We start from the raw sequence: 23,823 nt of genomic DNA, 5'->3' as shown, positions 1-23,823 counted from the left end.
AGGCTGGAGCGCAGTGGCACAATTATGGCTCACTGCAGCCTCGAACTCCAGTAGCTTGGGACCATGGGTGTGTGTCACCACACCTGGCTAATTTTTTCTATTTTTCTACAGAGATAAGGTATTGCTATGTTGCCCAGGCTGGTCTTGAACTCCTGGACTCAAGTGATCCTCCTGCATCAGCCTCTCAAAGTGCTGGATTACAGGCACGAGCCACTGTGCCCAGCCTGAAGACTAGTATAAAGTTACTTACATGGTAAGTGCCACAAAACCAAGCTGATATGAGGTATTAAGAGAACACTTACAAAAATAGGGAGTGTTGTAGTAATTCTAAAAGTGTTCAGAATCAGGAGATGGTGTGGATAGTCCTTGTGAATTCCTAGTGTACAATCAGATGGCCGACTTCCAGATGGGATTAATAATACTTTTCTGCAGAGCAGTTGACAGGGGCCAGAGCCTCAAATCATCAACCTCACTTGACCTGTCTTACTCCTTGGAATCCAATAATATGATTTATAGTGAAATGAGAGTTTAGATATAAAAGAAGCCAGGGCTAGAATCTGGTCTTCTTTCCATGAACACTTTGGCAAGTGGAAGCCAAGAGTGGAAAATCATTTACAGACATGGAGTTTGGGGAGTGAGGTCATTTTGGGAAGTGAGAATGAAGGGAGGAAACAGAGGGCTGAAACTCGGGCCCAATATGCCTAGACAAGGCTCTTGTTACTGATGGGATTCAAATTAGTGATTTTTCCTTTTGCCAAAGACTCTAACATGGTTTAACTATTTTTCTTTTCTTTCCCTCTTCCTTTCCTTCTTTTTCTTTCTTTCTTTCTTTCTCTTTCTTTCTTTCTTTTCTTTCTTTCTTTCTTTTTCTTTCTTTCTTTCTTTTCTCTCTCTCTCTCTCTCTCTCTCTCTCTCTCTCTCTCTCCCTCCCTCCCTCCCTCTCTCTTTCTTTCTTTCTTTCTCTTTCTTGACAGAGTCTTGCTTTGTTGCCCAGGCCAGAGTGCAGTAGTGCAATCTTGGCTCACTGCAACCTCATCCTCCTGGGTTCAAGAGATTCTCCTGCCTCAGCCTCCTGAGTAGCTGGGACTGCAGGCACGCACCATCACGCCTGGCTAATTTTTGTGTTTTCAGTAGAAACGGAGTTTCACCATGTTGGCCAGACTGGTCTCGAATGCCTGATCTCAAGTGATCTACCTGCCTCGGCCTCCCAAAGTGCTGGGATTACAGGTGTGAGCCACTGCACCTGGTCCTCTCTCTTCCTTTCAACAGGGTCTTCCTGTTGCCCAGGCTAGAATGCAGTGGTGATCATAACTGACTGTAGCCTTCAACTCCTAGGCTCAAGTGATTCTCCCACTTCAACCTCCCTGGTAGCTTAGACTACAGGCATGCGCCACCATGCCTGGCTAATTATTTTGTTTTAGAGACGAAGACTTGCTATGTTGCAGAGGCTGGTCTGTAACTCTTTGCTTCAAGCAATCCTCCTGTCTTAGATTCCCAAAGTGCTGGGATTACACTTTGGGTGAGTGAGCCACCACACTCACTCCTGATATCCTGTGTTTATCTAAAATTTTGATGTTTTATTCATCATGTATTTTTCGTGGGTGTTAGTTTTTATTTTTTTCAAAAATGGAGTTCAAATGTTATCTTGATTGCTGAGATTTTCGGCACACTCTTCAGTTTTGTGCTCACTCGTTCTAGACCTGTCCCTAAACAGAGGGTAAAAATGATTCAGGACGGGACCGAAGACTTCACTGACTTCACTAATTTCAGTTTTTCTTTTTTCTTCTGATCAAATGTACAGCAAACAATGATTTTCATTCCTCAAAGGAAGCTGTAAGAAGGGCAAAACATGAAAGAAGGGATCAGCCTTTACAATTTGCTTTGGTCCACCACCCTCCATCTGGTCTATTCACTGACTCAACCCTGGGATCCAAATTGGGGTGGCACCATTACTACTGATCCCCTTAACCATCTTGATCAAGCTCTGTAAAGTCTTTTCCTTTGTGTTCTGAAAATGTTAGAAATTACAAATAACCTTTTTTTTTTTTTTTTTTGAGGCAGAGTTTTGCTCTTGTTGCCCAGGCTGGAGTGCAATGGCGTGATCTTGACTCACTGCAACCTCTTCCTCCCAGGTTCAAGCAATTCTCCTGCCTCAGCCTCCCGAGTAGCTGGGATTACAGGCACCCGACACCACGCCCAGCTAATTTTTGTATTTTTAGTAGAGATGGGGTTTCTCCATGTTGGTCAGGCTGGTCTCGAACTCCTGACCTCAGGTGATCCACCATCCTCGGCCTCCCAAAGTGCTGGGATTACAGGTGTGAGCCACCACGCCCGGCCACAAAGAACTTTTAATACAAAAATAATTAGGCTGGGTGCAGTGGCTCACGCCTGTAATCCCAGCATTTTGGGAGGCCGAGGCTGGCAAATCACTTGAGGTCAGGAGTTCGGGACCGGCCTGGCCAACGTGGTGAACCCCCGTCTCTAATAAAAATACAAAAATTAGCTGGACATGGTGGTGGGTGCCTGTAATCCCAGCTGCTCGGGAGGCTGAAGCACCAGAATCGCTTGAACCTGGGAGATGGAGTTTGCAGTGAGCTGGAAGCACGCCACTGAGCTCCTGCCTGGGCAACAGAGTGAGACTCTATCTCCAAGAAAGATAATTAAAAGAATACCAACCCATAAAAATTGTTGAGTTTAAAGAACACAGATTTGGCACCCCTCTGGTCTCATTTACCTCCCGGTGAATAAAAGATAGCTGTATGTCAAGGACCTGTTCTGGTAGGTCAACAAGCATATGTGCCACTGGTTATTGTGTTTTGGTAGACTTTGAGAGAATCTTTGCCCTTGCTCTGATCATCATGAATTATGTAAAAGATCTGCAGTGGTAAGGGCTGTATCGAGGCTGTTCAGTCTTAAATGCCTCAATTAATAGGAACAAACACTGGAAACAGAGACGGGCATCAGGAACATTTCTACCATGCTATACTCAACACTGAACATTTCTTATACAAAGTAAGGACAGCCAGACATGCAAATCATTGAGTGTTTTATTGAACAATTAAGAAATGTATAACCATTTCATTACTTTACAATAGTAAAACTGATTTGTAACTTTTTCTGTGAATATGCGAATTTGTATTTGAAAGAGTTTAGACTTGTATTGAATGAGATGTATCTTGACTATAAAGTGTTTTCTTTTTCAGTACAAAATATACAAACCAGTACATGTTTTAAACATAAATATAACTGAGAATAGGTTATGCTTCTACTCAAATGCACTTGTGGAAAGTACCATTCATCCGCAAAGACACTTTTAATAAGCTTTGACAGGAAGACAAACTCGACAGTGTTGTCAGATTTTCTATTTAAAATTACATTTATATTAACCCCAACCTTTCATTTTAGCAAAATGGTTTATGGTTTCTTCTACTTTATAATATTTACAAAGTAAAACTTCTACTCCAGATATGAACTTGTGGCCCAGCATGGTGGCACATGCCTGTAATCCCAGTATTTTGGGAGGCCAAGGAGGCGGATCACTTGAGCTCACCAGCCTGAGTTTGAGACCAACCTGGGCAACATGGCGATACTCCATCTCTACAAAAAAATACAAAAATTAGTCAGGTGTGGCCGTGAGTGCCTGTAGTCCCAGGTACTTGGGAGGCTGAGGTGGAAGGATCGCTTGAGCCAGGGAGTTAGCCTAGATCATGCCACTGCACTTTAGCCTGGGTGATAGAGCCAGATCTCATCTTAAAAAAAAGAAAAAAAAAGATATAAACTTGTAAATTTCTTATCTGGAATTAACATAAAGTAAGAAAAATTTTGTGGCACTAAGCTAACAATCCTTCAATAAATACAAATTAAGAACATCTTAGCATCTGGGGAACACCTAGTTATCAACACAATTCAAATTTAGACAGGATAGTTTCTTTTTTGAGTAATCATATCCCTAAATTCCTTCTGATTTTTTATTTCCATGTCTCAGCATCTCAGGATGAACACCACCAAGACAAAGCCTAATAGGATGATGAGCACTCATCTTTTAGATACAGATATCACCCTGAGTGGGACTTCATTGGCATAACTGTATTTTAGATGTCAACTTTAAGTAAGACTTTTAAAGAAATTATCCATACAAAATAATAAAGGACATAACAAAACTTCAAAGGAAATCAAACGTTGGGTTCCTATAATTACATGATGAGAAAGGTTAAAAAATGAATGGTTCCAGCCTGAGTTCAAGACCAGCCTGGGCAACAGGGTAAAACCTCATCTCTACAAAAAATACAAGAATTAGCTGGGTGTAGTGGTGCACACCTGTAATCCCAGCCTATAATTGGGAGGTTGAGGCACGAGAATCACTTGAACTCGGGAGGTGGAGGTTGCAGTGAGACAAAAGCGTGCCACTTCTCTCCACCTTGGGCAACAGAGTGAGACTCTGTTTCAAAACAAAAACAAAAACAATGGTTTCATTTGAACATAAAATGAACTACAATTAGGATTTCATGTTTTCTTTCAACTTCAAATGGACATTACTCATTAAATAAAAAAACATACTTTCATAAACCTTAAAGCTTATCATAAAATTGGTAGCAATTAATAGCTTTTCTTAGTCTTTCTCTCTATATAATCAATGAACCAATTATTTTCTCCCTATTGTGCGAAGCCAAATGGTCAATGCAATTGATTTCAGGTTGAGCAGTTTTTAGAAAATCACTCAAACATATACGAATTTAATACTTTTGGAGAATTATAGGAATATGAAAGCAACATTTTAAATTCTTGCACTTTTTACCATGAGAGAGTTCTAAAACACTAAAAGGTATTTTTCTTTTTAACCCATAAAAGAATAATAATGTGCAGGAAAAGATGAGATATTTTTGTTATGTAGGCAAACGATTTGGGCTTCAGATTGGAATCCTTTTGAATTTATGTTATTTTCCCTCCAAATAGAAGCCAAGAAGAATAAAATCCTGTGAAGCTAATAAACCATTCCAGGTGCTTTCAAATGATCCTTTTTTTGTGTAGGAACTTCTAAGCAATCACGCTGTTGGCATCATGAAGTTCTTTTGTGTGGCTGGGTGTCTTTCCTTCACTCCTCTTCTTCTTCTGATAGATCCAGTAAAGTTAGCTAGAGAGATCTATATTTGAGAGGCAAGGGAGAAACAAATACATCAAAGAAATACTATCCAGCACACCAATAAACACATGCCTAATTTTTTTTTTAATAATGAGTTATGGAAGTTTATCAGTGTTTATCAGTGCTGAAAGCAACTTTATATATTCTTACCTTCCAATAGAAATGCAGCACCTATGTGTCTTTAAAAGGCTGAATTTAAACTTTTATTTTATTTACTTTTTGAGACAGTCTCACTCTGTTGCCCAGGCTGGAGTGCAGTGGCACGGTCTCAGCTCACTGCAACCTCTGCCTCTGAGTTCAAGTGATTCTCATGCCCCAGCCTCCTGAATAGCTAGGATTACAGGTGTGCGCCACTGGTGTCAATGTTTCCCTAGGTAGTTTCTTTTGGGACCCCTCCTGAAGACATGAAGGCTGCTTCTTGCTTCATTTCTGGAAGCTTCCACCTCCTTCACATTTCACTTTCACTTCACATCTCACAGTCATAGTGGGGTGTTAACTATGACTAATTTAGCAATACAAATATAGAGATACCTCTTCTGGAATCATTTCTCTCAACTCGGATTGCCTAAATTTGAACATAAAAATGAAATGGGGCCAGGCATGATGGCTCACACCTACTGGGGAGGCTGAGGTGAGAGGAAGGCTTCAGCACAGAAGTTTAAAAACAGCCTGGAAAACATAGCAAGAGCTCATCTCGAAAAAATATATGTGTGGCTGGGTATGGTGGCTCACGCCTATAATCCTGGCACTTTGGGAAGCCGAGGCAGGTGGATTGCTTAAGCCCAGGAGTTTGAGACCAGCCTGGCCAACATGGTGAAACCCTGTCTCTACCAAAAATACAAAATTTAGCTGGGCATGGTGGTGCATGCCTATATTCCCCGCTGAGGCACGAGAATTGCTTGAACCTGGAAGAAAGAGGTTGCAGTGACCCCAGATCAAGCCACTGCACTCCAGCCTGGGTGACAGAGCAAGACTCTCTCAAAAAAATAAAAAAATAAAAAAATAAAGAAGAAAAGAAAAGAAAAAATATATATGTGTGTGTTTTGTAAAAAATAGATGAAAATGAGATGGATTTTTTTTGCTTATCAAACTTACAATATATACATGTTTGTCGCCCAGGTTGAAGCACAGTGGCACGATCTTGGCTCACCACAACCTTCACTTCCTGGGTTCAAATGATTCTCCTGCCTCAGCCTCCCAAGTAGCTGGGATTACAGGCGTGCGCCACGACACCTGGCTAATTTTTTTGTATTTTTAGTAGAGACAGGGTTTTGCCATGTTGGCCAGGCTAGTCTTGAACTCCTGATCTCAAGTGATCTGCCTGCCTCGGCCTCCCAAAGTGCTGAGATTATAGGTGTGAGCCACCACGCCCGGCCAAAAAATTGTTAAATAAATTAAAATGTTATACTGCACAATATTCTTATTTTTTCTTTCCTTTTATTATTTTTTTTTTCGGTGACCAAAATACAAACCCAAGAAAATATTCATTTAATGCAAAGAAAGCAGTAGAAGAGGAAGAGAGGAACAAAAAAAGACATGGGACATATAGAAAAGAAAAAATAAAATTGCGTAAGTTCAACCATATAAATAATAAAATTAAACATGAACTTACTAAATAATCCATTCAAAAGGCAGATTGTGTCAGACGGGGTAAAAAAACAAACAAACAAAAAACATGATTAACCATAGGTTCTTTGCAAAGGCATATTTCTGATTCAAAGCCAAAAATAGATTGAAAGTCAAAGGATGGAAAAAGAGATATCATGCAAGCAGCAAGTATAAGAGAGCTGAAGCGAATATACTAATAATGTCATAGTTTTAAAAATTAAGACAAAAATTATTACTAGAGACAAAGAATGACATTTATAATGCTAAAAGGGTCAACTGAGGAAGATAGAACAATTATGAAGATATATATACTTAGAGCCCTAAAATACATGAAGCAAAATCTGGCAGAATTGAAAGGAAAAATAGATGATTCAACAATGGAATCAAATTAGAAATCAATAACAAAAGAAATTTGAGAAATTCTCAAATATATGGAAATTAACAACACACTCCTAAACAACCAGTAACTCAAAGAAGACTCAGAAGGGAAATAAGAGAGTATTTTGAGATGACTGACAATGAATATTTAGGGAATACAGCTAAAGTAGCACTTGAAGAGAAATTTATACCTATAAACATCTATAGTAAAAGAGAAGAAAGATCCCAATTGAATACCTAACATTTCACTTAAGACCCTAAACATGGAAGAGCAAACAAAACCTAAATCAGGCAGAAGCAAGGAAATAATAATGATTACAGCAGAAACAAATGAACTGGAGAATGGAAAAACCATAGCAAAAATCAACAAAACCAAAGTTGTTTCTTTGGAAATAGCAACAAAATTGATGAACTTTATTTAGACTGACCAAGAATAAAAGAGAAAAGACTCAAACTACTACTCTGAAATGAAAGAGGGAACATCACTACTAACCTTACAGAAACAAAAAATAACTATAAGAAAATAGTATAAACAACTGTGTGCCAACAAATTTGATAACTTAGATAAAATAGACAAATTCCTAGAAAGACACAAATTACCAAAACTGACTCAAAAAGAAATAAAAATCTGAAATGGATATATAGCAAGAAAAAAGATCGAATTAGCAATTAAGAAACTTTCCAAAAAGAACCACATGGCTTCACTGGTGAATCCTATAAATGAATTAAAGAATAATTAGTATCAATTTTCCCCAAACTTTTCCAAAATTTAGAAGAGGAGAAAACACTTCCCACGTCATTTTATGGTTACCCAATACCAAAATCAGAAAAAGACATCATAAGAAAAGTGCAGACCAATATTTCTTATGAATGTAGCTGTAAAAATCCTCAGCAAAATACTAGCAATCTAAATTCAGCAACATATGAAGAACATTATGATTTAGTGGGATTTACCTCGGAAATACAATGTTAATTTAACATCTGAAAATCATTTAATGTGATGCATAGTATCAATAGAATAAGAGACAAAACACATAACACATGATAATATATATACATATATATGTGTGTGTGAATATATATTTGGTTTTCTGTATGTTTTTTTCTTTTGAGACAGGGTCACACTCCATTGCTCAGGCTAGAATGCAGTGGTTTGATCACAGCTCACTCAGCCTTGACTTCCTTGGCCTGGGATCAGGCGATTCTTTCACTTCAGCTTCCTGAGTAGCTGGGACCGTAGGTGCATGCCACCACACCTGCTTGGCTAATTATTTGTAATTTTTGCAGAGATGGGGTTTTGCTATATTGCCCAGGCTGGCCTCAAACTCCCTGACTCAAGCAATCTGCCCCCCTCAGCCTCCCGAAGTGCTGGAATTACAGGCATGAGCCACCACATCTGGCCACACATGATAATTTAGATACAGAAAAAGAAGGTGACCAAAACAAACATCCTCCCTTCATAATAACAACATTCATCAATCTTGCAATAGAAAAAGAACTTTCTCAATCTGATAAAGGTCATCTACAAAGACCCATAACTAACATAATACTTAATAGATGAAAGACTAAATCTGGGACCAAGAATAAGACAAACATGTTTGCTTGAACTACTTTGGAGGTTCTTATCAGGGCACTTAGGCAAGAAAAGAAAAAAGAAACCCAGATTAGAAAGGAAGAAGAAACTATCTCAATTTGCAGGTGATCTTGTACGTGAGCTTGTGCACAGCAAATCCTAAGGAACCTTCTGAAAAACCTATGAGAATGAATCAATAATTTTATTAAGATTTCAGGATATAAGATCAATAAAAAATCAATCATATGCCTATACATTAGCAATGGACAATTCAAAAATGAAATTAAGAAAATTCCGTTTGCAATAGCATCAAAAGAATAAAATACTTAGAATAAATTTAACAAAGGAAGTACAAACTTGTACTCTGAATACTACAAAAGCAATTAAAGTAGACCTGAACAAAGAGAAATACATTCCATTTCATGTATTGGAAGACTTAATTTTGTCAAAATGGCAATACTTGTTACATTGATCTATAGATTTAAAACTATCCCTATCCAAATACCAAATGGCTCTTTGCAGAAATTGACAAAGTAGATGTAAATCTTTGTGACCTTCGATTATTTTTTAAATATATAATATCTAAAGAACAAGCTACCAAAGAAAACATAGACTAATTTGATGTCAATAAAATTAAAAACTTTTTTGCTCCAAGGACAACACCAAAAAAAGACATCCACAGAATGGAAGAAAATATTTGCACATCATATTTCAGATAAGGGCCCTGTATTCAGAATATATACACACACATATATATATATCTTACAGCTCAACGATATAAAGACAAATAATCCAACTGAAAAATGGGCAAAGGATTTGAATAGCCATTTCTCCAAAGAGACACAAATATCCAATAAGCACATGAAAAGATGCTCAACATTTTAGTCATTATGGAAATGCAAATCAAAACCACAATAAGTTGTCACTTCACACCCTCTAGGACAGCTATAACAACAAGTGTTAGCAAGCATGTGGAGAAATTAAAACCCACGTATACTGCTGGTGGGAATGTGAAATGATGCCACTACTGTGAAAAACAGTTTGGCAGTTCCTCAATGAGTTACACATAGCATAACCATATGACCCAACAATTCCTCTCTTTTAATTCCCAGAGAACTGAAAACATATGTTCCAACAAAAACTTATACACTAATGTTCACAGCAGAATGATTCATATTAGCCAAACAGCCGGAATAACCCAAATGTTCATCAATAGGTGACTGGACAAACAAAATGTGATTTTTCCATATCATGGAATTGTATTCAGTCGTAAATTAGAGTGGAGTACTGATACATGCTACTACAGGGATGGGCCCTGAAAACATTAAGTGAAAAAAGCTAATTACAAAGACCACATATCACAAGAATTCATTTATATGGAATATCTAGAATAGGGAAATCTATAGAGACAGAAAGTAGGTTAGTGGCTGTCCAGGACTGAACAGCTGGGGAGAAATGGGGAGTGCCTGCTAATGAGAATGGGGTTTCTTTATGGGATGATGAAAATGTTCTAAAATTGATCATGGTGATGGTTGCACAACTTAGGAATATAGTAAAAGCCATTAAATTGTACACCTTAAATGGGTGAATTGTCGGGTGTATAAATGATAACTGAAAAAAATTAAACATGCATATCCTCATAATTCCACTTCTAGGAGTATTTTGCAAGAAAATAAGTGTACATATGTTCAAATACGTATGCATGCCATTCACTGCAGCGTTGTTCAAAATAGCATAAATAAATATTACAAAACATAAATATTGATCAATAAAGTCAAGATAAATAAATTAAGGCTATCCATACAGTGAAATGCAATCATCCCTCAGTATCCCTGGGAACTGGTTCTAGGATTTCCCTTGGATACCAAAATCCATGGATGCTGAAGTCCCTTATATAAAATGGTGTAGTATTTGCATATAAATTACACTTAGCCTTCCGTATACTTTAAATTGTTTGCAGATTACTTATAATACCTAATACAATATAAATGGTATGTAAATAGTTGTTATACTGTATTGTTTAGGGAATAAAGACAAGGAAAAAAGTTTGAACATGTTCAGTACAGATACTGCCATTCTGTTTTTTTTCCTGAATATTTTCAATCTGCCATTGGCTGATTTAATGAAAAACCCACAGATATGGAGGGCCGACTGGACTACAGTGTCATTCAAAGTGACCGTCTCTTAATGCCTAGGTGACGGTTGATAGGTGCAAGAAACCACCATGGCACACGTTTACCTATGTAACAAACCTGTGCGTTCTACACATGTATTCTGAAACTTAAAGTAAAATAAAAATAAAAATAACTTACTGTTTTCATATGTACAAATAAATACATCTAAGTAAAAGATAAACGTAGTAAATGGATTTCATATGTGTTTAAATAATGTGTATATATGTCATATTTATACAATATTAAAGTAAATTAGATTAAATGTCACTTAGATGCTAAGTAAAAGACAAAGCAGTAAATGGATTTCATATGTTTAAATAATGTGTATATATGTCATATTTATACACATATAATTTTCGTATATATAAAAATGTTGCTATTAGAAAAAAATGTGAAGACTAAGTATAAAATTGAACTAAACTCCAGCACAATTTTGACATAAATGAAATGTGATACCTAAAGAACTCCAAGCCCCCACATATCCCCCACCCTCATCCCCACTCCCACCCCACCCTCACCGAGGTTACTTTGGCCAGTGTAATAAAAGAAGTTATTGGGGGGCTGAGGCAGGAGAATCGCTTGAACCCGGGAGGCGGATCTAGCAGTGAGGCGAGATCACGTCATTGCACTCCAGCCTGGGCAACAAGAGCAAAACTCTGTCTCAAAAAAAAAGAAGTTATATATGGTACACACACACATACACACACACACTCTCAAGAGAAGTGACATTTAATCAAAATTTTCATTGAGTAGGAAAAAGGTGAAGAGTAGGAAAAAAGCACGTCTAGGCGGAGGAAATAATGTGTAAAAGCCCTGAAGTGGTAAGGAACATGACATATTTGACAAACTTACAGAGAAGTGCTTTTGTGGTTTACATTCAGAATTTTATTTCAATTGTAAGAGTAATGAGAAATCACTAAAGGACCTTAAGAAGTATAGAAGCCATAATACGAAGAATGGATAAAAGAGAAGCAAAAGTGGAGGTGTGAAGGTTGCTGCAAGGTAAACAGTCGTTGAGCTTGTGTAATGTGAACTGGTGACAAATTGGGAACTGGGAGACTGAATATGTACAAGTGTACAATGGCCAGCTCCTATATTAATGCTTTGACCCACAAACTGCAGCAACCAGCCCAGGAAGCCAAATCACAACCTCTGCAGCAGCTGGTCCCAGATGGTTAAGAACTACCAGTTTCCTTTTTATCCCTCCTCCCCTGATTCTAGCTTAGGACTAACTGAAGAAAACCACATATACTCCCCAAATTAAATAGGATATCATGCTTCTAGATAGCCTGCCTTCAGCTTTCCCATGCCAACAATCTCCAGTCACATCATACCTAAAGCCTTCTCTGTTTCTCACAATGAAGCTTTCCTGATTCTCTGCCTGTCTTGGTCCTCTGCCAAACTCAAGAGATGCTGGCTGACTCCCTTGCTATGTAAACTCTGAATAAATAGCCCTGGCTTGATTCATTTGAGTGGTTATCTTCTTTTTTTCTTTTTTTCCTCAGGAGTATGATACTTAAGGGTAAAGAGGTAATTGAGGCTAAAGGAATGGATAAAACAGAGCAGGAGAGAGTAGAGATACATTTTATTATACCTTGCAGGGTACAACAGCCTGTTTAGGAGGCAGAGGGTTGGCTGAGAACTTAGTGGAAATAAGTATGGTGCCCTGGAATTGAAGGGAAGGGACTTTTGCAGGCCAAGTAGCCAGCTGCTAAATTCTGCTGTGAAATCAGGAAGAAGACTAAAATTTGTCAATTAATTTAGAAAGATCAGACTGGGCACGGTGGCTCAAGCCTGTAATCCCAGTACTTTGGGAGGCCGAGGCAGATGGATCACCTGAGGTCAGGAGTTCGAGACCAGCCTGGCCAACATGGTGAAACCCTGTCTCTACTAAAAATACAAAAATTAGCTGGGCATGGTGGCGCATGCTTGTAATCCCAGCTACTCAGGAGGCTGAGGCAGGAGAATCGCTTAAACCCAGGAGGCAGAGGTTGCAGTGAGCTGAGATGGAACCATTGCAATCCAGCCTGGGTGACAAGAGAGAAACTCCATCTCAAAAAAAAAAAATTTAGTAAGATAAGGATAATTCTAATGGAGATGTAAGCAGATTAAAGTGGATTTAGATGTGAATACAAAATAATGAATCAGGGACAATGAGTACAGAAAAATCATGAGAGCATTGACTGAGGGGTATGTGGATGTGTATATGTGTGTTTTTTTTGTTTTAGGATATAGGCTTATCACCATTTAAACTTTCAAGTTGACACGATGATCCAGAGAGGTAAAGGTATAAGTACAGCTTGAAATTCCTAAGAAATCTTAGGGAGAGAAGGGGACCCACAGCACATATGAAGGATTGGCCATGTCTTCCGTAATACCAAGAAGGAAGAGGAAGATGGGGGTGGGTAAGGAGGGGAATGGATTAGATGGGATTTATGCTAAAAAGAAATTTTAGATTCCTGAACAACATGGTAGAGAGCAGCTAGTTTAGCTATCTATGGAAAGAATTATTACACATTTTGTAAGGAGAAATCAGTTTTTAAAATGAAGAAAACTGGCCGGGCGCAGTGGCTCATGCCTGTAATCCCAGCACTTTATGAGGCTGAGGTGGGAAGATCACCTGAGGTCAAGAGTTTGAGACCCGCTTGGCCAACATGGTGAAACCCCGTCTCTACTAAAAATACAAAAAAATTAGCCAGGCCTGGTGGCAGGTGCCTGTAATCCCAGCTACTTGGGAGGCTGAGCCAGGAGAACTGCTTGAACCTGGGAGGTGGAGGGTGCAGTGAGCCGAGATTGTGCCACTGCACTACACTCCAGCCTAGGCAACAAGAGTGGAACTCTGTCCCAAAAAAAAAAGAAAAGAAAAGAAAAGAAAACTTTGAAACTCTAGAACATTGTATACATACTTTGTTCAGAGGAATATACAATTATTGTAATAAATGTTTATAATATAAACATCACTATATTTATGCATTGATATATAAGTGTATAAGTAAATATATTCATCATTAAGGCATCATAATCTTTTTCTTTTTTTTTAGACGGAGTCTCACTCTGTCTCTCAGGCTGGAGTGCAGTGGTATGATCACAGCTCACTATAGCCTCAACCCCTCGGCTCAAGCAATCCTCCCACCTCAGCCTCCTGAGTAGCTGGAACTATAGGTATACACCATCATGCCAGCTAATGTATTTTTTGTAGAGACAGTGTCTTGCTGTGTTGCCCAGGCTGATCTCAAACTCCTGGTCTTAAAAGATCCTCCCACCTCAGGCTCCCAAAGTGCTGGGTTTACAAGTGTGAGCCACTGTGGCTGGCTGGCATCATAATCTTTACAGAAAAGTTTTATCTCATCAGTAAATTAGGGACATTAGGGATTTCCTCCAAGCATGACTTTTGGACACTGGGCTGTGATTAATTTAGAAAAGAGTAATTTTCAATATTTCATTTAGCTTTATGCAATATGTCCTGCAGATATTTCAGCCCACACAGGAATGCCCCATATTTAAGGCAGTTCTTGGGCCATTCACATTAAGCTTTAGGGGCTAAATCTTGTCTTCAAGGAGCTCATATTTCAATACTGATAAAAATCTAAAGAAACAAAGTCAAATGTGATAGATGGCTTTAAAAGCCTACTACTAAAAGTGCTGTGATTGTTAGGAGGATGAAGTTTATTTTAAACTAACTGAATTAGGGTGGTCGTCATGAGGAAAATAGGATTTATGAGAATTCTCAAGGAGGGAGAGAGTTTGGACTTGATGAGAGAAGAAATTCCTAGAAGAGGAAATATCTCCACCACAGAGATAGAAAATGATAGTTCCATCCTAGAAATATTAGAAAATAAATCTGAAAATGTGTGTGTGTCTAGTGAGAACAAGTCTTAAATTTATGATCTTAAATTGAAAGATAATGAATAAAAGCTTCATTTCATTTCATCTTTTTTTTTTTGAGACATGGTCTCACTCTGTCACCCAGGCTGGAGTGCAATGGCGTGATCTTGGCTCTCTGCAACCTCCGCCTCCTGGGTTCAAGTGATTCTCCTGCCTCAGCTTCCTGAGCAGCTGGGATTACAGGTGCCCACCATGAGACCTGGCTAATTTTTGTATTTTCAGTAGAGATGGCATTTCACTGTGTTGGTCAGGCTGGTCTCGAACTCCTGACCTCAAGCGATCTGCCCACCTTGACCTCCCAAAGTGCTGGGATTATAGGTGTGAGCCACCACGCCCAGCCTATTTTACATCTTTTAGCAACATTATGAGGCTGGGCACGATGGATCACACCTGTAACCCTAGCACTTTGGGAGGCCGAGGGGGGCAGATCACTTGAAGTCAGGAGTTCGAGACCAACCTGGCCAACATGGTGAAACCCCGTTTCTACTAAAAATACCCAAATTAGCTGAGTGTGGTGGCACAAACCTGTAATGCCAGCTACTTGAGAGGCTGAGGCAGGAGAATTGCTTGAGCCCAAAAGGCGGAGGCTGCAGTGAGCTGAGATCACACCACTGCACTCCAGCCTGGGCGACAGAGCAAGACTCTGTCTCAAAAACAAAACAAAACAAACAAACAAGCAAAAACACTTAGGCACTTTTTTTTTGGCTGAAAATACAAAGATAAATAAAACCTACCCTCGGCCTTCAGGGAATTTACAGCATGCAGAGGGAAGAGGGGAAGACTATAGTCAGTTAACACTTTCTAATGCCAGGCGTTAAGGACTTTAACAGAAGTATGTAACTAGTGCTCTGAGAGCAAAAGTGGGTATATCTATTGTAACTAATAGGGGTAATAAAATCAGAGAAGGTTTCCTAAAGGATGAATGATACTGAGAAAAAAAGTGAAAAAATTTGAGGCAAAAGCATAGCTTGAAGAACAGTTAAGAGGTGAAGAATGGACTGATTTTAAAGTAATAATAAGTCTAACTACTATTTATTTAGCACTTACTGTGTGCCAAGTATTGTTATGATAGGATAAGGGCCATAACAATTTCCATCTTACAGATCTGGAAGTGGAGGGAAGCTCAGAGAGAATAAATGACTTACCAACAATGATCACCAGAGAGTGAGCTGTGTGGCCAGAGCTTGAATCTAGTAGGTCCAAACACAGTCTTAACTCTTATCTCCTCTGGGACAGGCAAGGGGGAAAGAATAAGGTAACAGATGAAACTGGAAAGGTATATATTGTAAGGTGTTGTTTGTCAAATTATTGTTATTATTTTGTGTTCCATTTGACCTACAGCGGGATAACTGAGATCAGGACTGAAACACATTCACTGGATTCAGAAGAAGGAAGTCATAATGGACCTTCCGCAGAAGGAAAAGGGGAACAATGTGTTGAAAATAGTTGGGAGGAAAGAAAACAGCTGCCTTTTCAAAAAGTGTGGCTTTGAAGAGATGAAGAGAACATGGGCTGGTCGCTAGAGAGCACTATGGAGTCAATGGTGGAACTCTTCTTTCTTTCCTTCTCTTCCTTCCTCTTTTTCTTTCTTCTTTCCCTCTCTCTTTGTTTCTTTCTTCTCTCCTTTCTTTCTCTTCTCCTTTCTTTCTTTCTTTCTTTCTTTCTTTCTTTCTTTCTCTTTCTTTCTTTCTTTCATTCTTTCTTTCTTTTTTTCCTTCTTTCTTTCTCTCCTTCTTTCCCTGTTTCTTTCTTTCCTTTTTTCTTCCCTTCTCTTTCTTCTCTTCCTCTCTTTCTGTCTTCTTTCTCTCTTCTTTTTATTTCTTCTCCTCCTCTTTCTTTCTGTCTTTGTCTCTTTCGTCTTTCTGTCTTTTTTTTTTTTTTTAAGACAAAATAGATCAGTGTTGACATATTGAACATTCTGGGGGAGCAAGAGAGTATAATTGCTAGATCAAGGTCCTTGAGGTGTAGGGAGATTACCCATACTTGAGAGGTATTTTTTATTGAAAGACTAGGGGCCACACACAGTGGCTCATGCCTGTAATCCCAGCACTTTGGGAGGCCAAGGTAAGAGGATTGCTTGAGCCCAGAAGGTCAAGACCAGCCTGGAAACAAAGTTAGACCCTGTCTCTACAAAAAATCTTAAAATTAGCCAAGCACGTTGGCACACACCGGTACTGTCAGATACTTGGAAGGCTGAGGCAGGAGGATAACTTGAGCCTGAGACTTTGAGGCTACAGTGAACTATGATCATGCCATGGCACCCAGCCTGGGTGACAGAATGAGATCCTGTCTCAAAAAAAAAAAAAAAGAAAAAGAAAGACTAGAAAGGGAACATAAAAGAAGCATTGTAGATGTAGATGTCTGTAGTTTGAGGGCGAGGTTGGATTTTGAGGCTTAATGACCTCCTATTTCACTTGAAGTAAGAGGAGTTATCTTTTGCTGTGAGTTGGAAGAGGAGATTAAGAAGTGTAAAGAAACTAGAGGTTATTAGTTTGAAATAATAGTTGAATAGGAATATGAAGTGCAGAAGAGTTCTTCCCAGAGAGCCCAGCTAAAGTTGGAGATGAAGTGCTCCATGAAAGTAGAGATTCTATGCTGAAAGCAGAATTGGGTTTCACTTAAACCCAAGAGGTGGAGAGAATGGAGTGAGAAGGATGAAGATGCTAGGACAATTGCAGGAAGAGTTGGGAAGCAGGGCAGGTTTGGTTAAGGGGGTCAGATGCCCATGACTGCAAGGGGGTAAGAATAAGACAGAAAATAGGAAACTAGAAGCAAAGCTTGAATACCAAGTGAGGGTGACAAGAGAGTATCAGTTGGACTCAATTAAAAATAATGTATTAACACCATGGAATACCATGCAGCCATAAAAAATGATGAGTTCATGTCCTTTGTAGGGACATGGATGAAGCTGGAAACCATCATTCTCAGCAAACTATCGCAAGGGCAAAAAACCAAACACCGCATGTTCTCACAGGTGGGAATTGAACAATGAGAACCCATGGACACAGGAAGGGGAACATCACACACCAGGGACTGTTGTGGGGTGGGGGGAGTGGGGAGGGATAGCGTTAGGAGATATACCTAATGCTAAATGATGAGTTAATGGGTGCAGCACACTAACATAGCACATGTATACATATGTAACAAACCTGCACGTTGTGCACATGTACCCTAAAACTTTAAGTATAATAATAATGAAATTAATAATAATAATAATAATGTATTAAAAGACACTTTTTCCAAAAATATATTCATAGTCATTACCTCTGGAACATGAATATGGGCAATAGGGTAGGATGGGGAACTTGTACTTTTGACTTTACATTCTTCCATACTGTTAGAAATATATTCTACACCATGAAGATGTATTACAATTGTTATTAAAAAGCTAGCTAGACCAGGCGCAGTGGCTCATGCCTGTAATCCCAGCACTTTGGGAGTCTGAGGGGGGGCAGATCACCTGAGGTCGGGAGTTCGAGACCAACCTGACCAACATGGAGAAACCCTGTCTCTACTAAAAATACAAAATTAGCCGAGTATGGTGGTGCATGCCTGTAATCCCAGCTACTCGGGAGGCTGAGGCAGGAGAATCGCTAGAACCTGGAAGGTGGAGGCTCCGGTGAGCCGAGATGGCACCATTGCACTCCAGCCTGGGCAACATGAGTGAAAACTCTGTCTCAAAAAATAAAAATAAATTAAAAAAAAAAGCTAGTAGAGTATGTATTGACGGAGTATGTAGTTATCTAGAGTACATATTAAGTAAGTAATGTTTTAGAGACAGAGTCTAGGCTGGAGTGCATAATCATAGCTCACTGCAGCCTCAAACTCCTGGGCTCAAATGATCCTCCCTGGAGGCCTCAGCCCCCCAAATAGCTAGGACTAGAGGCACACGCCACCATGCCTGGCTAACTTTTTTTTTTTTTTTTGGTAGAGACAAGGTTAAATCATGTTGTCCAGGCTGGTCTTGAACTCCTGCACTCAAGCAATCCACCTACCTCTGCCTCCCAAAGTGCTGGGATTATAGGCATGAGCCACTGGACCTGGCCTTAGAGTACATACTTATAAATAAAAGCATTGATGTGCTGAGATTTTACTGTTGGAAGGGAGAAGTCATTCCAGCCTTAAGTCGCGACCTCATTTTCCACTCTAGGGCCCTCACATTAACCTGTAGACTTGCATTTCCTGACACCCCTTCCCTTGCTCTCCTTCACTCTAAATCACTTAGGACTGAAGGTGGTGCCAAAATATTTCTGAGAAAAAAAAATCAAGGAAATGAACGGCATACAGCATGTAATTTTCTGTGTAATTAATTCAGTTGCATAGGCTGGGATCATTGAGGATGACCCTAGGAGCTGGAAAAATTGACAGAGTAAAGATAATATGACATTTCTATTAAAAGAGCTAAAGGTCTGAACACTCTAATAAAGGGTTAATCTGGAAAACTTTCAAAGTCAATTGTTTACCTTACCTATCCTTTTACAAAGTCTTACTTGATCCTAACTGATCAAATAACCACATGTGATTTTATCTAAAGCATCCAAAAAATTAGAGGGGAAGAAGTGAAAGGGGTGTTTTGCCTTAGAGTCCACTACCTAGGTTTACAGTACATTTACCCAGTTATCAAAGTGCCTTTGTTGCAAAACATATAAAAAATGGGAAAGTATTTAGGACAGTGAGAATTATGTTATCAGATCTGAAGGTAGCACTTGTTATTATAGTGCTGGTTGAGCAAGGTCTTGAAAAATTTTCTAATGTTTATCTTACATTAACTCTTACAGTAGATTCCAACAGGTGACTTTTAAACATTCTTCAAAGAACAGTAGCTGAAATGTAGAACGAGTCTAAAACTGAGAAAATGGATGCTGTCACCCAAGCAGTTTTATAAGCTCTCAGCCAACTTTTGTAAAGAGTTGCTATTATTAAGTAGTTTGCATAGCTTTAATTAAATTTCCCTTTGGTTTACAAACTTGATTTGTAAGTCAAAATTCCCCTCAACTTTAAAAATTCAAATTTCACTATTCATGCTTACTTGTAACACTGGTTTTTATGGTATGTGATTTGAGGATAATATGTGGCTATCTAAAGACTTGTGTTTATATTTTGCAAGGTATCTTTCTTTGTATATGCAGGAATTCTCTTGCTATTGTGAAATGTGTCCTCTCCTCTTTGTTATTTATGAAGGAGTGCTGGAAAAATCTGGGGTGTCTCTATTCCTCTTAAGCACAGATTTTTACCATTATTTCATACATGACACTGAAATGCTCTGCTGGAAGCATTATCAACACACACCAAAGGATATTTTAACACAGAAAATCTTTTTAAAGCATGTTTCAATCACCATTAATTGGCTTCTCAGAAACCTCCTACTGTATCTTTCTGGATTCCTCCACCAAAGCTATTTTTCATATTTTGATAACAAAGATTAATTTGTTACAGATATAGACATAGAGAACTTGACATTTTTGTCTCAATCCTTTTGATAAATGTTTATTATGAAATTGCTCCTCCTTCATTTAATTTTCTACTACAGGGCTTTCCCCGGGTTTGGAAAGCATGCATTAAACAATAGATACAGCAACTGTTCTTTCCACTGAATGAATGGAACCGTAAAAGCTACTCTACAGGCCAACTGAATAAGCTAATTTTGCCATTGCCTGTGTATGTTAACCAGATGAGGGATATTTCTGTGGCATTTTTTAAGGAAGCTATATCTTAAATGAATTAATGAGCTTGAAATACTTACAATGGAATGCCAAACTGTGTATTTTTTAGTATGAAGTGACTTAAACTTGGACAGTGTTTGAAGTTAACTGATTCAAGCAGTATTACCAGTAATTGTGGTGGTCTAACATTATTTAACAAGTGTAAAAACAAGAAAAGGGAGGAGCAAAACTCTACCAGAATTTATCCTTAAGATGTGACTATCAAGATCACTACTATTGGTGAGGCTGGAAAGCTGCCATTTTATTAGTGTTAACTTTACTTTATCTATTAAAAGAAATATTTTCAGAAAAAATAAATAAACCCTGAGGGCAAATAATAGTTGAATAGGAATATGAAGTGTGGTGGCTTACATCTGAAATTCCAGCACTTTGGAAGGCCAAGGCGGGTGGATCACTTGAGGCTAGGAGTTCGAGACCAGCCTGCGCAAAATGGGGAACCCTCATCTCTACAAAAAATACAAAAATTACCCAGGAGTGGTGGCGCATGCCTGTAGTCCCAGCTACTTGGGGGGCTGAGGTGGGAGGATCACTTGAGCCCGGGAGGTTGAGGCTGCAATGAGCTGGGATCACATCATTACACTCCAGCCTGGGTGACAGAGCAAGACCCTGGGGGAGAGGGGAGAGGTAAGAGGAGAGAGGAGGAGAGGAGGAGAGGAGGAGAAGAAAAGAAACCCCGAAGTATTGATGGTAGTTCATTGCTGGTATGGGGCTGTTGGGTGAATACATCCAAATGCTTTCATACACACTGGTCTTAATAGGGGAATCGGCTCGTTCTGCATAACATCCGCAATAATATTAGCCCCCAAATAGCTGTTACTCAGATTCAACAGTTATCAAGATTTTCCTACATTGTCCTCATCTGTCTAATTTTCTTCCTTAACTATTAAAGCAATTCTCAAAAGTCATGTCATTCATTTAACTCTTTCATTTATTGGTATGCATCTCTTAAGTCTTGACATTGCCATAAGCCATTATCACATATTACAAACTGTGAAGAAACATTTCCTGGTATATCTAATTTGGAACACTGCCTAAATGTAGCGAATCTATTTTCTGTCAGAAATACCTCAGGGAAAGGGTACTCGTGAATGGAGAGGCATACATCTCCTCTGAAGGCAATTGTGTTTGCGCAGTTTTCTTCTCATGGTCAAATTAACTGAAGGAAAAAGAGAGAAGTATTAGGAGCATTTTTCAGAGGCTTAATTGTTGTTTAATCTAGACAATGCAAACATATTTTGGAGCCAAACTAGATTGTGGTTATTTGCCATTTGTTCAAATGTGATTATAAAATTAAAAACCAATGTGATGCATATACACAAGGGGTGTTCCTAACAGTTAATGTTAATAGCAAGATCTTCTTTTACTCCTATTTTTTTAACTCCATCGTTGAGCAACATAGCAACATCTTAATAGTAATATCCTCCTCCTTTTGAATGATTTTTTCCTAAATGCTCCTAGACCTTTTATTTTATGTAGTAAATTAATCACAAATATTTTGTAAGAACATTGTCAAAGCTACTGTGTATTTCTGAAAAGTATAAATGGTTTGAATAGTGACTGCTGTAAACAATGAGAAGGGATCAAGCTGCTTTCTCAGAGTTGCTGAATTGGAACTTTTTTCTTACTTATGTAAAAGCACAGACCAGGGGACATCATTCGAAATAAACTCACAGTGATCAAACTTCTAATTCACTAAAAAGCAAAGTCTGAATTTTTAACAAGTGATGCATCGTTTTCTGTTCTAACTGAAGAAGTATATTATCAAGTGAATAATTTAACATATTTGGATGTAAATATTACCACCTTTTTATTTAAAGTTGGGTTTGTGGTTCAGAAAACTTTAACTTTCTAATTTCTTTCTTTCTTTCTTTCTTTCTTTTTTCTGTTTCTTTCTTTCTTTCTTTCTCTCTTCTTTTCTCTCTTTTCTTTCTTTTTTTTTTCAAACTTACTGGTTCTTTGAAATCTTAGCTGTTTGGTTTTGAAGTAAAAGTACATTAGAATACTTTTGTGTACTAAATTTCTGTTGGTTAAGTACAATATACTTGATATCATCTTTGAAAACATGTCAAGTAAATTAATATTATGTATCTTTATCATACATATTTTTGATGCTTTTTAGCTGTATAAGCATAATAATAAAAACTGCACTTATTTGTTTTAAGTGACATGCCTAGTTACATAATTAGAAATGACAGCTATTGACCTGTTTTAAGATTTAATCTGCATTTTGTTGCATTATGCTTTTTGTATGTTAATTCAGCCCCTACTCTGGGCAGCAACATACTTTTTAAATAAACTGCTTTGGAGTTTGCATTTTACCTAAAAATCTATACATTTATTTACCTTTATAATGAATAGACGAACACTTCTGTTTCATTTTACTTGTAAAGACAACATAATCTGCAATAGCTTAGAGATCTATTTTCTTGGCATTTAGGAAAAATAGTGGTAAAATACTTATCATTTCAAAGTCCAGATGTTTTTAAAATATTGAAATAATAGACCCAACAGGATAGATAGCATACTTTCAAAATCCTACACATTTATCCCCAATACTACTAACTGCAAGCACACCTAAGTGGTTTTCAGATAAACACAATCATGCTCAGAGACCCAGGGATGCAAACAGGCAAAACAAGTTACTTGTACAAATGTATCAAAGGCCTACCTGGTCTCTGTCCGCTGATAAGGAGAAGACTCATAATAAAAATAAAAAATGCAAAAAGGAATTGCTGAAATCTCATTTTCCTACCGCACAAAAGTAGAGCAATGACTCTCAATGTAAACCAAACGATCTGTAAATAGTCTGTGCAATATCTGTGTGGCTGTCTTCACATTCTAGTGACAAACCTCAGAGAACTGCCAGCTGTGTTTTGCAGGAAGGTTAATGATCACATTAGACAAAGTTGCCGGTGCTCTGTGCTGTGGTCAGAGCCTCCCTCAGCCTCAAACCCCTCCTCCACTCCTCTTCTCCTTTCTCCTCGGCCACTCCCCTTTATTTCCATAAGCAAATATTGGTGAAATAAACCATTCAAGCATGCTATAACTTTAGTGGAAGTGTACTCCAAAAGCTCCAAGAAGAGAATGACTTAAATTCAATCTGGATATGAAGAAATACGTAAAACAAGACGTGACACTGCCTCCTCCCCTTACCATTTGCATCTGTTTAAACTTTGCCCATATTGGTCCCACATGCAGAAACCAGTGGAAATGACAGGAAGTCTCTCTTTTGTCTTTTTCAGAAGGAATTCTGAAGCTCTAACATAAGAGTCCCAAATGCTTTGTGGCAGAACATGTGCTGAAATGCTTTATCTTTACCAAACTTACTGCAAAGTAGTGCCT

At 38.4% G+C, this 23,823-nt stretch overlaps 1 protein-coding gene across 2 annotated transcripts, besides 1 other annotated feature; it reads right to left on the bottom strand.

Moving 5' to 3' along the window:
• Positions 1–1,549: 1,549 nt before the first annotated feature.
• On the bottom strand, positions 1,550–23,379 carry APELA (apelin receptor early endogenous ligand). Of its 2 annotated transcripts, none has more exons than XM_017007623.2 (3): positions 23,150–23,379; positions 21,548–21,637; positions 1,550–1,831 (listed from the first exon to the last, which is right to left on the bottom strand). In XM_017007623.2, the coding sequence occupies exons 1-2, from the start codon at positions 23,223–23,225 to the stop codon at positions 21,549–21,551; spliced, it is 165 nt and encodes a 54-aa protein (XP_016863112.1). In that variant the 5' UTR covers positions 23,226–23,379; the 3' UTR covers positions 1,550–1,831; position 21,548. The 2 variants fall into 2 exon arrangements, with proteins under 2 accessions (XP_016863112.1, NP_001284479.1); NM_001297550.2 differs by lacking the exon at positions 1,550–1,831 and adding an exon at positions 3,030–5,141.
• Positions 5,372–5,571: an enhancer, noted in NCBI's record as "active region_22107". NCBI's record gives its function as "activates an Ori minimal core promoter by ATAC-STARR-seq in GM12878 lymphoblastoid cells {active_cell/tissue: GM12878}" and the evidence as "EXISTENCE:reporter gene assay evidence [ECO:0000049][PMID:35858748]".
• Positions 23,380–23,823: the final 444 nt, after the last annotated feature.

The sequence above is a fragment of the Homo sapiens genome, chromosome 4 (assembly GCF_000001405.40).
Source record: "Homo sapiens chromosome 4, GRCh38.p14 Primary Assembly".
Taxonomy (NCBI): Eukaryota; Metazoa; Chordata; class Mammalia; order Primates; family Hominidae; genus Homo; species Homo sapiens.
Note: the sequence above shows the minus strand (reverse complement) of the source record. Positions and strands in the feature narration are given on the sequence as shown.